This window comes from Homo sapiens, chromosome 12, assembly GCF_000001405.40.
Source record: "Homo sapiens chromosome 12, GRCh38.p14 Primary Assembly".
Lineage (NCBI taxonomy): Eukaryota > Metazoa > Chordata > Mammalia > Primates > Hominidae > Homo > Homo sapiens.
The window spans coordinates 930,172-944,446 of NC_000012.12; the positions used below are offsets into that span (position 1 = coordinate 930,172).

The window sequence follows — 14,275 nt, forward strand, 5'->3', positions numbered from 1 at the left end:
AGCTGTGTTAATTCCTTACCACACTTAAATGTGAATCAAAATTGACATAATTTATTCCTCATCTACTTTTTTCGATAAACTGTCCTTAAACATTCTTCTCGGGAGGCTGAGGTGGGAGGATCACTTGAGCCCAGGAGCTCAAGGCTGCAGTAAGCTAGGATCGTGCCACTGCACTCCAGCCTAAGTGACAGAGTGAGAACCAGTCTGTTAAAAAAAATTTTTTTTTCAAGAAAATTCTCAATGAATTTATTTCAAAAATCTTCTAGATGGAGCCCGCGAGAACGAATGGTCTGTTGGGAGGAGGAACTCACCCAGCAGTTGCTAAAATTCAGTTTGCAAAAAGTACAAATCTGTTTGACATATTTTATGGAAGACCAAAAATATACACAGAAGTTAAAATTAGAAGCAAATGATATGCAATTATTATGTGTCAATCATAAGTTCTTTAAAAAGTGTTTAATTAAAAAAAAAAAGCAAATGGCAAAAGGAACATTTTTTTTTTAATGGTGTAAAGGCTGGGCATGGTGGCCCACACCTGTAATCCCAGCACTTTGGGAGGCCGAGGTGGGAGGATCACTTGAGCCCAGCAGTTCGAGATCAGCCTGGGCAACATGGCGAGATGTCGTCTCTACAGAACATTAAAAAATTAACCAGGTGTGGTGGCGTGTGCCTGTAGTCCCAGCTAGTCAGGAAGCTGAGGCAGGAGGATCGCTTGAGCCTGGGAGGTGGAGGCTGCAGTGAGCTGAGATGACACCACTGGTCGGACTCCAGCCTAGGTGACAGAGCAAGACCCTGTCTTTAAAAATAAAAAAAAAAAAAGATGATGTAAAAATCTTAAGACGGCGGTTATGCGAGTGTCAAGACCATGCCCAGGCCCCTTCGGATGAGAATGAAGTCTGGAACCCATCCCCTCCCAGGGGCACTGGGAGACCTCCAGGAACAGTTAACAGCAGACTTCCGAATCCCTGAGGACCCAGAGAGGGAACTGGCAAGACCATCGGAGTCTGCGGTATGGATGCCTGCTTTCCAGGCACATGAATTCTCCTACCTTCTGGCCTCCGCCAGCCATGCGGCTACTTATGTATTCTGGGCCCAGCCTCTGCCTCAGGGCCTTCTGGATGGCCTGGTACTCTTCTGCTGTGTACTGGCACTGCAACCCCAAAAAAGAAAATTAAATTCACACTTCCACCATTCCTCACATCATTGAGTCTCCATCCTTTATGGAGACTTTATACTCTTAAAAAGACCCCCCAGAACCTTTGTTTATGTGGGTTCTATGTATCCTATTAGGAATCAAAACTGAGAAACTTTTAAGGCATGCATGCCATTAGGCATCATAGCAGTGACATCACCACATATCATGCACTCTCTGAAAACTCTACCATTCACTCATGAGACAATGAGTGTGAAAGAGGCAAATAGTATTATTATGAAGATAATTTTGACCTTCTGGACTCTGAAAGATCTTCAGAAACCCCAGGGTTTTTGAGAACTGCATTTTGAGAACTGCTGCCTTAGCTGCTGCTACCATCCTTATAAATGTTTCTGAAGCTTAGGAAGCTAAAATGTTCTGCCTCCAGATCTGTAAATGACGTCAGCACAGGAAGCAAGTACGGAAAGAGCACGGGGGTAGGAAGCCTTGCTTCCATTTGTCCTTTCCAGAGATTGACGCCTTCTCCAATACAACAATTTCCCATCCTGCACAAACAGAAACACACTACTGCTTGCTGATTTGGGTTTTGTCCCCCTTGCCCTGCTCAGATGAGATGAATACTCACAACTCTCTGCTAAAGACAAAGATGGAGTTTGGGTGGACAAAGCAAGAAACTCTTTTCTGTGCACACAATGTCCCTACAAGGAATAGGACCCCCAGTAACTTTCCATGCCTCCAAGAAAGACAACTGGAGCCAGGCGCGGTGGCTCATGCCTGTAATTCCAGCATTTAGGAGGCCGAGGCAGGCAGATCACGAGGTCAGGAGTTCAAGACTACCCTGGCCAACATGGTGAAACCACATCTCTACTAAAAATACAAAAAAATTAAGCCCGGGCGTGGTGGCTCACGCCTGTAATCCAAACACTTTGGGAGGCCGAGGCAGGCGGATCACCTGAGGTCAGGAGTTCGAGACCAGCCTGGCCAACATGGTTAAACCCCATCTCTACTAAAAATATAAAAATTAGCTGGCCATGGTGGTGCATGCCTGTTATCCCAGCTACTTGGGAGGCTGAGGCAGGAGAATTGCTTGAATCCAGAGGGTGGAAGTTGCAGTGAGCTGAGATCGCACCACTGCACTGCAGCCTGGGTGACAAAGCAAGACTCAGTCTCGAAAAAAAAAAGAAATAGAACTGGGTGGCATGCACACAGGGGCAATAGGAAATAGGGAGATTTTCACAGTTTCATTTTGAATTTGATGTCATACAAATATGTTATCTATCCCCCCCCACAAAAAATTTAAAATCTAAATCTAATCCCCAGTACTATCAGTCTTTTGATAGCTAACATTCCAAAATGCCCTCCAGAGTTCACAAGACTCCCAAAAAATGCATCTAAAGGAAAAACCAATAACAAATAGCTCACACATGTACTATGTAAACGTACTAGGTACTGCCCCCGCACGCACCGCGTCAACGTACTAGGTACTGCTCACACACGTACTAGGTAAACGTACTAGGTACTGCTCACACACGTACTAGGTAAACGTACTAGGTACTGCTCACACATGTACTACGATGCTCTACAAACTGCCTTGCCCTAACTTTACTCACTTCACCTCATTCTTTCCCGGCATGAAGGAACCACAGTTACCTGTCCAAAGCATAACACTGAGCCGCCGCCAGCAGCAGGATGGCTGTCACGTCCTCCAAGAATTGCTTCCTCAGTCCCAGACATCTTGATTCTGGTTGACCTCTATATAAATAAAAAGCGGAAAAAAAAAACAACCCTCAAAGAATGTTTAAAGTAAAAGGCAAGAGCCTCTACTGAAAAATCACATAAAGAATCCTTATGCGGCCAGGCACAGTGGCTCATGCCTGTAATCCCAGCACTTTGGGAGGCCGAGGTGGGTGGATCACAAGGTCAGGAGATGGAGACCATCCTGGCTAACATGGTGAAACCCCCTCTCTACTAAAAATCCAAAAAAATTAGCTGGGCATGGTGGCAGGCGCCTGTAATCCCAGCTACTCGGGAGGCTGAGGCAAAGAATTGCTTGAACCCAGGAGGCGGAGGTTGCAGTGATCTGAGATCACACCCTGCACTCCAGCCTGGGCGACAGAGCGAGACTCCATTTCAGGAAAAAAAAAAAAAAAGAATCCCTATGCAATACCCTAAGAGTTATTTATAAGCTTCTAAGCACTGCTCCAATCCAGAACAGAGTTCCTCAGTGGTTAGCTGTGGTCTCTCAAGCTGCTGAAGATTCTTTAAGGTCTACTTCTACCTTTCTGTTAACATGTTTGCTATTCTGGCGGTGCTATTAAAGGTGATTTTTACAATAAGAATATATTACATTTAGAACTATAAAATCAAAATTACAAAAAATTCTTTATGGGAAAGCAAACAAAAAATGTACTATAGGTGGAACATTGCTAATCCAAAAATCCAAAATTCAAAATGCTCCAAAATCCAAAACGTTTTGAGTGCCAACATGATGTGTTATAGTCAAAACACAGGTAATGGCCAGGCATGGTGGCTCAAACCTATAATCCTACCACCTTGGGAGGCCAAGGCAGAAGGACTGCTTGAGCCCAGGAGTTTGAGACTAGCCTAGACAACAAAACCCCATCACTACAAAAAATTTAAAAATTAGCCAGGCGTGGTGCTATGCTACTTAGGAGGCTGATGTGGGAGGATCGCTTGAGCTCAGGAGTTTGAGGCTGCAGTGAGCTATGACCACCCCATCGCACTCCAGCCTGGGTGACAGAGTGTCTGACTCTGTCTCAAAAAAAAAAAAAAACAAAAAAAAAGGCAGGCACACAACACACAGTTTATTCAGCTTCTCCAAGAGAAAAATTCAATTATCAGCCAGACGCAGTCACTGACACCTATAATCCCAGCACTTTGGGAGGCTGAGGCGGGCGGATCACCTGAGGTCAGGAGTTTGAGACCAGCCTGGCCAACATGGTGAAATGTCTTTATAAAAATACAAAAATTAGCCGGGTGTGGTAGTGCGAGCCTGTAATTCCAGCTACTTGGGAGGCTGAGGTAGGAGAATCGCTTGAACCTGGGAGGCAGAGGTTGCAGTGAGCTGAGATTGTGCCACGGCACTCCAGCCTGGGCGAGAGTGAGACTCCATCTCAAAAAAAAAAAAAAAAAAAAATCATCTTTAGGCTCTGAAAACAAATGAATTTCATGTTTAGACTTGGGTCCCCTTCCCAAGATATCTGATTATATATATTCAAATATTCCAAAATCTGAAGTCCAAAACACTTCTGGTCCCAAAGCATTTCAGAGAAGCAATACCCAACCTGTACTAGCTAAGAGGGTAACTGGGAGGTGGTGGATATGTGAATTACCTTGACTGTGGTAATCATTTCACAGTGCATTCACATATCAAATCATCACATTGTACACCCTAAATATATACAATTTTTGTCAGTCATACCTCAAAAAAGCTGGGGGGTAGGGAAGAAAAATCAAGTGAATCTGTTTTAAAGTTTAAAAAAACCGGCCAGGTGTGGTGGCTCACACCTGTAACCCTAACACTTTGGGAGGCCAAAGCAGGCGGATCACCTGAGGTCAGGAGTTCGAGATCAGCCTGACCAACATAGTGAAACCCCATCTGTACTAAAAATACAAAAAAATTAGCCGGATGTGGTGGCAGGCGCCTGTAGTCCCAGCTACTCGGGAGGCTGAGGCAGGAGAATCACTTGAACTTGGGAGGCAGAGGTTGCAGTGAACTGAGATTGTGCCACTGCACTCCAGCCTGGGTGACAGAACAAGACTCCATCTCAAAAATAATAATAATAAAGTTTTTAAAAACCTCAACTTACTGCTCACTACTATATAGGCAGCATGACCCTGGACACTGTGGGGTCAAAAAGAAATAGAAGCCACAATCACTGAAATGCTTTCCAGGAGCTAACAAGATAGCTGGAGGGAGGAGACTTAATAGAAATGAAACAAATGAAGAGCAGGAGGCCCCAACATTCAGGAAGGCTACAGAGCAAAAAGCCACTTCACTTCCTTAACCAGCAGCATCACCATCACCTGTGAATCTTTTTTTTTTTTTTTTTTTGTAAGCGTTTCGCTCTTGTCGCCTAGGCTGCCCTGCAGTGGTGTGGTCTCAGCTCACTGCAACCTTCACCTCCTGGGTTCAAGCGAATCTGCTGCTTCAGTCTCCTGAGTAGCTGAGATTACAGGTGTGCGCCACCATGCCCGGCTAAATTTTGCATTTTTAGTAGAGACAGGGCCGGGCGTGGTGGCTCACGCCTGTAATCCCAACACTTCGGGAGGCTGAGGAGGGCAGATCACCTGAGGTCAGGAATTCGAGACCAGCCTGACCAACATGGAAAAACCCCGTCTCTACTAAAAATACAAAATTAGCCGGGTGTGGTGGTGCATGCCTGTAATCCCAGCTACTCAGGAGGCTGAGGCAAGAGAATCGCTTGAACCCGGAAGGCGGAGGTTGCAGTGAGCCGAGATTGCGCCATTGCACTCCCGCCTGGGAAACAAGAGTGAAACTCCGTCTCAAAAAAATAAATAAATAAATAAATAAATAAATAAATAAATAAATAACTAGAGACGGGGTTTCACCATGTTGGCCAGCCTGATCTCGAACTCCTGACCTCAAGTGATCCACCCGCCTCAGGTGTGAGCCACCATGCCAGAACACTTCTCACATTTAAAGAGCAACTTGTGGCCGGGCACGGTGGCTCACACTTGTAATCCCAGCACTTTGGGAGGCCCAGGCAGGTGGATAACCTGAGGTCAGGAGTTCAAGACGAGCCTGGTCAACATGGTGAAACCCCATCTCTACTAAAAATACAAAACTTAGCCAGATGCAGTGGCGCGTGCCTGTAGTCCCAGCTACTCGGGGGGCTGAGGCTGGAGAATTGCTTGTACCCGGGAGGCGGAGGTTGCAGTGAGCCGAGACCACACCACTGCATTCCAGCCTGGGCAATGGAGCAAGACTCTTTCTCAAAAAACAAAACAAAACAAACAAAAAAAATTCAGTCTTTTATTGAAGGACAATCTTATCTTTGTCCATAAAGTAAATGTGAAATATTTTTTGCCTTTTTTGCTCTTTTACTTTGAAAAAGATGTCTTACTATTCTGCTTTCCTTCCTAAAACTGTCTACAATGGTTTTTCCATTATAAAAGTAAAAAAAAAAAAAAAAAAAATTTAAGAGACAGCGTCTTGCTCTGTTACCCAGGCTGGAATGCAGTGGTGCAATCATAGCATACTGTAACCTTGACCTCCAGGGCTCAGGTGATCCTCCCACTGCGGCCTCCAGAGTAGACAGGACTACAGGTGAGTGCTATCATGCCAGGTTAATTTTTTTTAAAATTTTTTTAGAGATGAGTGTCTCACTATGTTGCCCAGGTTGGTCTTGAACTCCTGGGCTCAAGGAGTTCAAGTGTTTTTTATGTGTGCATATTCGTTAAACAAAGGTAGAATCCAAATGCATTAGGCATATCTTACACAGCACTTCAAATCTTCTTGGCCTTGTGTGTCCTTGAGGCCCTTGGTCACTTTGTCCACTCCAGCTGTCACTGGGCTGATCAAACACGTCTGGGTTATAACCAACTGCCCACAGGCACAACCCCACGGTCCCTTACCTCCTGCTCATACTGGGTACCTATCACTTCCCACCCGTGGCTTGCTGCTTGCCTTGGAGGTGTAAGGGTCTGTGGGACCCACCTGGTACCCACACATGCACAACCTAGAAGTCTATGGGAATTAATGTGCCATGAAGCAAACCTTTTTCCAGTGAGATACAGAAGCTGAGGGGTCCGTCCACCCTTCCTTTAGATGGATTGCCCTGGAATGCAGTTATGTATACATCCTCCTGGGAGACAGCTTTAGGAGAACAAGCAACCAACTGTACTTGCACCAAGGGCAACCAACTTCAAAATGCACCCTTGAACTGACTTAATCTTCCTTCTCCCTTCACTCACCTTTCCCCTACCTCTGCTTCCTGAGAGCACACTTCTTGAAAAAATAATAGCACATACGCTCTTGCCTCAAGCTGTAGGTTCTCCAGGTTCTAGGGTACCCAGGTATAGCAGACACTACGGATGCTCTACTCAGCATCCCTTCAGCTTTTTTTTTTTTCTGAGACAGAGTCTCGCTCTGTCACCCAGGCTGGAGTGCAGAGTGGTGTGATCTCAGCTCACTGCAACCTACACCTCCCAGATTCAAGCAATTCTCCTGCCTCAGCCTACTGAATAGCTGGGATTACAGGCATCCACCACCACGCCTGGCTAATTTTTGTATTTTTAGTAGAGACGGGGTTTCGTCATGTTGGCCAGGCTGCTCTCGAACTTCTGACCTCAGGTGATCCGCCTGCCTCATCCTCCCAAAGTGCTGGGACTACAGGTGTGAGCCACCGCGCCCAGCCATCCCTTCAGCTCTTACCACAATAGTGCACCCTATTCTGACTTCCAAATGCCAACATCTGCATCTTGTTACCTGAGAGCTTTCTTTGGTATCCAGACTACTTTGCACCTGTTTATGGCAAGCTGTAAGCACCAGAAAATTGAACCACCCTGGCAGCAGCCCTCAAATGGTGCCTGACAGGAGCTGGTGTTGAAATACGCTAAATTTCTGACCCCTCTGTGGAACATCACCAAGCCATGAGCTTCTCCAGTGGAATTAGGTTCCCCCGTGGCAACAGGCTTGAAAACTCACCCTTTGTTGTCAAACTTTCCTTTCCTGTCTCCCTTCCCCGCTCCTCTACTGTGTAAAGGACTAATCTCCAAATAAACTACTTGGGAATAAAAAGGAGGGCGGCAAAAGATGCCTTTACAATGTAGAAACCTGGGAGTTACCACCTTAATTATTAAGGAATCAAACTTAATGTCACCAATTACAGTCACATCATGTGCTTCCTGATGGACGCACTAAGAAGGTCCCATCATTGAGGTAGTATTTCTACCAACCTAATCATCAGGAAACAATCAAACAAGTTGAAATCTACAAAGCAACTGGCCTGGACTCTCCAAAGCATCAGTGTCTCAAAAAGCAAAACAAAATAGAATGGCTGGTGAACTCTTTTATGTTAAAAGAGGCTTAAGGCTGGGTGTGGTGGCCCACGCCTGTAATCCCAGCACTTTGGGAGGCCAAGGCGGGTGGATCATCTGAGCTCAGGAGTTCAAGACCAGCCTGGCCAACATGGTACAATTCCCGTCTCTACTAAAAATATAAAAAGTAGCTGGGCATGGTGGCACACACCTGTAGTCCCAGCAACACGGGAGGCTGAAGCAGGATAATCACTTGAACCCAGCGGGTGGAGGTTGCATGAGCCAAGATCATGCCACTGCACTCCAGTTTGGGTAACAGAGCAAGACTCCATCTCAAAAAATAAATAATAAATAAATAAAGACTTAAGAGGCATGACAACTAAATGCACTGTGTGATCTTCAATGAAATTTCGGATCAGGGATAAAGAAAAGCTATAAAGAATATTATTAGGACAATGGGAGAAATCTGATGATGGGATGAATATGAGACTGCAGCCACAACCTCCTGGGCTCAGGTGATCCTTCTGCCTCAGCCTCCCGAGTAGCTTAGACTACAGGTGTGCACCACCACAGCTGGTTAGTGTGATAATTATATCGTGATTCTGTAGGACAATGGCCTATCACTAGATGTATGATTTTGTATGATGCAATATTGGAGTAAAGTGTCATGTTTTCTGCAACTTACTCTCAATTCATTCAACTAATTGTGTGTGTGTGTGTGTGTGTGTGTGTGTGTGTAGAGAGAGAGAAAAAGGCAAGTAGATAAAGCAAAAGTACAAATTTATGAACCTAGGTGAAGGATATGCAGACATTAATTGTAAATTTTTTTTTTGAGACAGTCTCGCTGTGCCACCCAGTGCAGTGAGGCGATCATGGCTCACCGTACCCTCAAACTCCTTGGCTCGTGATCTTCCCACCTCAGCCTCCTAAGTAGCTGGGACTACAGTTGTATAACGCCACACACGGCATATTTTTTATTTTTTGTAGAGACACGGGTCTCACTATGTTGTCCAGGCTGGTCTCAAACTCCTGGGCTCAAGCAATCTTCCTGCCCAGCCTCCCAAAGCACTGGGATTACAGACGTGAGCCACTGCACCCAGCCCACTGTAAAATTTGTCCAAAGGCTTCAAATCTTTCAGGATGAAGTGTCAGGAAAGACTACCTGCATAGCCAAGATTATGGCAGCTATATAAATCCAAATATCCAAACACATGTCCAAAAACTACACAGACCAACCAACCGGAGAAACAAAGAAAATCACCAACGTCTCATATCTTCAACATACTTAGAAGACTGAAAATACTACAAGCTTCTAATTACCCATAAGTAGAAAAACGTCAATTTCTTGTAGAGATGTTTCTCAATCTCTCATCTCAGCTCTTTAAGGACAGCAAAGAGGGATCCAGATAGGAAGAGAGATGCAAAGAAGAGAGAAGAGGGCTGGGCGCACCGGGCGCGGTGGCTCATGCCTGTAATCCCAGCACTCTGGGAAGCTGAGGCAGGCGGATCACGAGGTCAGGAGTTTGAGACCAGCCTGGCCAAGATGGTGAAACCCCGTCTCTACTGAAAATACAAAAATTAGGTGGGCGTGGTTGTGTGCGCCTGTAATCCCAGCTATTCGGGAGGCTGAGGCAGGAGAATCACTTGAACCTGGGAGGCAGAGGTTGCAGTGAGCAGAGATCACACCACTGCACTCCAGCCTGGGTGACAGAATGAGACTCTGTCTCAAAAAAAAAAAGAAGAGAGAAGAGGACAATGGAGAGCCTAAGATGGAACTAAAATATCACCCTGAAAAAGAAAACTCACGGTAAGTATGAAAACACCAACAAAGAATTCCGTTAAATCGGGAGGGAGGAAGGGAAGGTCGGGTAGAGACACTTTTAAACACATGCAGAACTTGATGAGGTAGTCTTGAAAACGCAAGCCTTCTGGGAAGAAGGAGAAAAAGAATGAAAGGGTACCCTCTGTTGGCCGGGCGCGGTGGCTCACGCCTGTAATCCTAGCACTTTGGGAGGCCAAGGCGGGCGGATCACGAGGTCAAGAGATGGAGAACAGCCTTGCCAACATGATGAAACCCAGTCTCTACTAAAAATACAAAAATTAGTTGGGTGTGGTGGCGCGTGCCTGTAGTCCCAGCTACTCAGGAAGCTGAGGCAGGAGAATTGCTTGAACCCGGGAGGCAGAGGTAGCAGTGAGCAGAGGTTGCAGTGAGCCAAGATTGCGCCACTGCACTCCAGCCTGGAGACAGAGCAAGACTCCGTCTAAAACAAAACAAAACAAAACAAAACCAAAGAGAAAGGGTACCCTCTGAAAACTGTGCTGTGAAAGACACAAAGAAAATGTAAGAGCCAAAGGACATAGAACCACCTCCCCGACAAAAAAGCCTTCTAGTAGAATTAGAAGCCATACTTGACTACACCTAGAAAAGAATAGGAACTACTCTTGAACTAGGAATCTCAAAAATCATCCTGAATGACTGTCACTCCTGCTCACGAAATGCAAACTTCGAGAAAAAAAAAAGATTGAAAAGAATGAAAGAACCTCAGGATCCTGTGGGCTAATATCAAAATGTCTAACTCACATACAATTGAAGTGAAATTGAACTCACATACAGAAGAAGTGAAAGAGAATGGAACAGAAGAAATATTTTTAAAACTAATAGCTCCAAATTTCCCAAATTGGCCGACAGACATAAATTTACAGATTTAAGAAGCTCTGCAAATCTCAAGAATAAATCTCCGGATAAATACAAATAAAATGACACCTAGATACACCACAGACAAACTGCTAAAAAACAAAAATAAAGAGAAAATCTTGAAAGCAGGTAGAGAATGATAACACATTACATACAGAGTAATGAATGATGCAAATGATGGCTCCATTTTACAATAAAGGTAAGAAACATATCTAGAAATCAATTTAACAAAATATGTATAAGACTTCTGAACTGAAAACCATAAAACAGAACTAAAAGAATTTTTTTTTTTTGAGACAGAGTTTCACTCTTGTTGCCCAGGCTGGAGTGCAATGGCACCATCTCGGCTCACTGCAACCTCTGCCTCCCAGGTTCAAGTGATTCTCCTGCCTCAGCCTCCAGAGTAGCTGGGATTACAGGCATGCGCCACCATGCCTGGCAAATTTTGTATTTTTCGTAGAGACAGGGTTTCTCCATGTTGGTCAGGCTGGTCTCAAACTCCTGACCTCAGGTGATCCACCCGGCTCAGCCTCCCAAATTGCTGGGATTACAGGTGTGAGCCGCCACACCTGGCCCAAAATTTTTATTTTTATTATTATTATTTTTTGAGACAGAGTTTTGCTCTTGTTGCCCAGGCTGGAGTGCAATGGCACTATCTCAGCTCACTGCAACCTCCACCTCCTGAGCAAGTTCAAGCAGTTCTCCTGCCTCAGCCTCCCAAGTAGCTGAGACTACAGGCACCTGCCACCACACCTGGCTAATTTTTGTATTTTTAGTAGAGACGGGGTTTCACCATGTTGGCCAGGCTGGTCTCGAACTCCTGACCTCAGCTGATCTGCCCGCTGCAGACTCCCAAAGTGCTGGGATTACAGGCATAAGCCACTGCACCCGGCCTAAAAAGAAATTTTAAAAGGCTTAAATAAGAAGGAAAATGCACCAAGTTCATATATTTGAAGACTCAATACTGTTTAGGTGTCATTTCTTTCCAAATTGATCCATAGATTCAATGCAATCCCAATCACAACTTTACCAGACTTTTCTGTAAAACTGGTAAAGATAATTCTGATATTTATATGGAAATGCAGAGGATTTAGAATATTCACATCAAGCTTGAAAACAACAAAATTGGAAGACCTACAACTACATGACTTCAAGACTTACTAAAAAGCTACAGTAATTAAAAGTGTGGTACTAACACAAGGATTGAACAATGGAACAGAAAAGGGAGTGCAGACATCAATTACCATTTGTACAGTCATCTTAATTTCCAAAACGCAATACAATAGCATTTTCAACAAATGGTGCTGGAATGACTGGATATCTATATGGAAAAGAAATTAATATTTAATTATATCTCACACCATTCACCTAAACTAGAAATGGGTGATAGGCTTAAACATAAAACTAAAACTATAAAATTTATAGGCCGGGCACGGTGGCTCACGCCTATAATCCCAGCATGTTGGGAGACCGAGGCGGGTGGATCACAAGGTCAAGAGTTCAAGACCAACCTGGCCAACCTGGTGAAACCCTGTCTCTAATAAAAATACAAAAATTAGTTGGGCATGGTGGCGCATGTCTGTAATCCCAGCTACTCGGGAGGCTGGGGCAGGAGAATCGCTTGAACCTGGGAGGCAGAGGTTGCAGTGAGCGGAGATCGCCATCACCGCACTCCAGCCTGGACGACAGAGCAAGACTCTGTCTCAAAAAAAAAAAAAACTTACAGAAGAAAACATGAAAGATTATCTTCACAGCCTGAAGGTAGCCAAGATTTCCTAGGACTCAGAAAGCAGTAACTATAAAAGAAAATATAAGAGAAAACTGATTACATCAAAATGTAAAACTTCTGTTCATCAGACAACTCTAAGAAAATGAATAGGCAACCAGACAGAGGACAGGTAACCAGGATATAAAGGTTATATAAATAACTGCTACAACTCAATAATAAAAAGACACACAACCCAATGTAAAATGGGCAAAAGATTTGAGCAGGCACTTCACAAAGGAAGATGCACATTGTCATGGGCACAGGAAAAAGTGCTAAACACCATTAGTGACTGAGGACTAAAATTAAGACCATGACACACCACACCCATCAGAATAACTCAAAAGACTGACAACACCAAATGCTGGCAAGGATGTAAAGCAACTGGAACTCTCATACACTGTTGGCAGGAAACAGGCTGATAAAACCACTCAGCTGTTAATGCACACTACTCTTCATGAAAACCAAAGGCCGACTCCAAGGACGGAGCCACACGTCCAGGGAGTAGAGCAGCAGAGGCCCAATCCCAGGCCTGGAGCCCTACTGGTTTTTTGAGACGAAGTCTTGTTCAGTCGCCCAGGCTGGAGTGCAGTGGCACAATCTCGGCTCACTGCAACCTCCATCTTCCTGACTGAAGCAATTCTCCAGCCTCAGCCTCCCGAGTAACTGGGACTACAGGCACGTGCCATCACGCCCAGCTAATTCTAATTCTTGTATTTTTAGTAGAGATGGGGTTTCACTATATTGCTCAGGCTGGTCTCGAACTCCTGAGCTCAAGTGATCCCCCCGCCTCGGCCTCCCAAAGTGCCAGGATTACAGACGTGAGCCACCGCGCCTGGCCTATTAGTTCTTTATTTATCTTGAATATCAGTCTTTTGTCAAATAGGTCCCTGTGTTTCCCCATTCATTTTCTTAGAGTAGTCTGTGATTACATTTTGATGTAATCAATCATATTTATCTTTGTGTGTGTGGTTTTTTTTTTGGGTTTTTTTTGCTTTTTTAAGTGACTCTGGCATCCTGAGCCCTAAGAAACCTTTGCACACACTCAGGTCATGAAGATATTCTTCTCATCTTCTTCCAGAAGCCTCACGGTTTTCTAATTTTGAAAATAGGTCTGGGCGGGGCCCGCTGGGTGCAGTTGCTCACACCTGTAATCCCAGCACTTTGGGAGGCTGAGGCAGGCGGATTGCATGAGGTGAGGAGTTCAAGACCAGCCTGGCCAACATCATGAAACTCCATCTCTACAAAAAATACAAAAATTAGCTGGGCCTGGTGGAATGTTCCCGTAGTCCTAGCTACTCAGGGGGCTGAGGTGGAAGGCTTGCTTCAGCCTGGAAGGTAGAGGCTGCAGTGAGAAGAGATCACCCCACTGCACTCCAGCCTGGGTGACAGAACGAGACTGTCTCAAAAAAAAAGAAAGAAAGAAATTAAGTAGCCAGGAGTGGTGGCTCACGCCTGTAATCCCAGCACTTGAGGCTGAAGTGGAAGGATCGCTTGAGGCTCAGGAGTTCAAGACAAGCCTAGGGAACATGGCTGTCTCTACAAGCAGCAAAACGTTAGTCGGGCATGGTGGAGCATGCCGGCAGTCCCAGCTACTCAGGAAGCTGTGGTGGGAGGATCACTTGAGCGGGGGCGAGGA

General features: G+C 45.1%; 1 protein-coding gene and 1 long non-coding RNA gene across 24 annotated transcripts in view; one reads left to right on the forward strand and one right to left on the reverse strand.

Annotated features, from left to right (window-relative positions):
* The window catches only part of RAD52 (RAD52 DNA repair protein), a 79,387-nt gene that overhangs the window by 18,436 nt on the left and 46,676 nt on the right, over window positions 1–14,275 (reverse strand). For 18 of the 23 annotated variants that reach the window (XM_017019769.2, XM_005253720.6, NM_001297419.1 and 15 more), the window contains 2 exons: window positions 2,804–2,905; window positions 1,049–1,150 (listed from right to left, as the gene is read on the reverse strand). The exons of 1 other annotated variant lie outside the window; for it this stretch is intronic. In XM_017019769.2, the coding sequence (XP_016875258.1) occupies window positions 1,049–1,150; window positions 2,804–2,887 (186 nt within the window). In that variant the 5' untranslated portion in view covers window positions 2,888–2,905. Of the gene's footprint in view, window positions 1–1,048; window positions 1,151–2,803; window positions 2,906–6,635; window positions 6,712–6,914; window positions 7,281–14,275 lie in introns of those variants that run through there. 4 more of the 23 variants (NR_123713.2, XM_047429284.1, XM_011520990.3 and 1 more) reach the window with 2 other exon arrangements.
* Window positions 1,142–5,697, forward strand: LOC124902855 (uncharacterized). The gene is made up of 2 exons (XR_007063155.1): window positions 1,142–2,634; window positions 2,670–5,697. It is a non-coding gene; the product is annotated as an uncharacterized LOC124902855 (long non-coding RNA).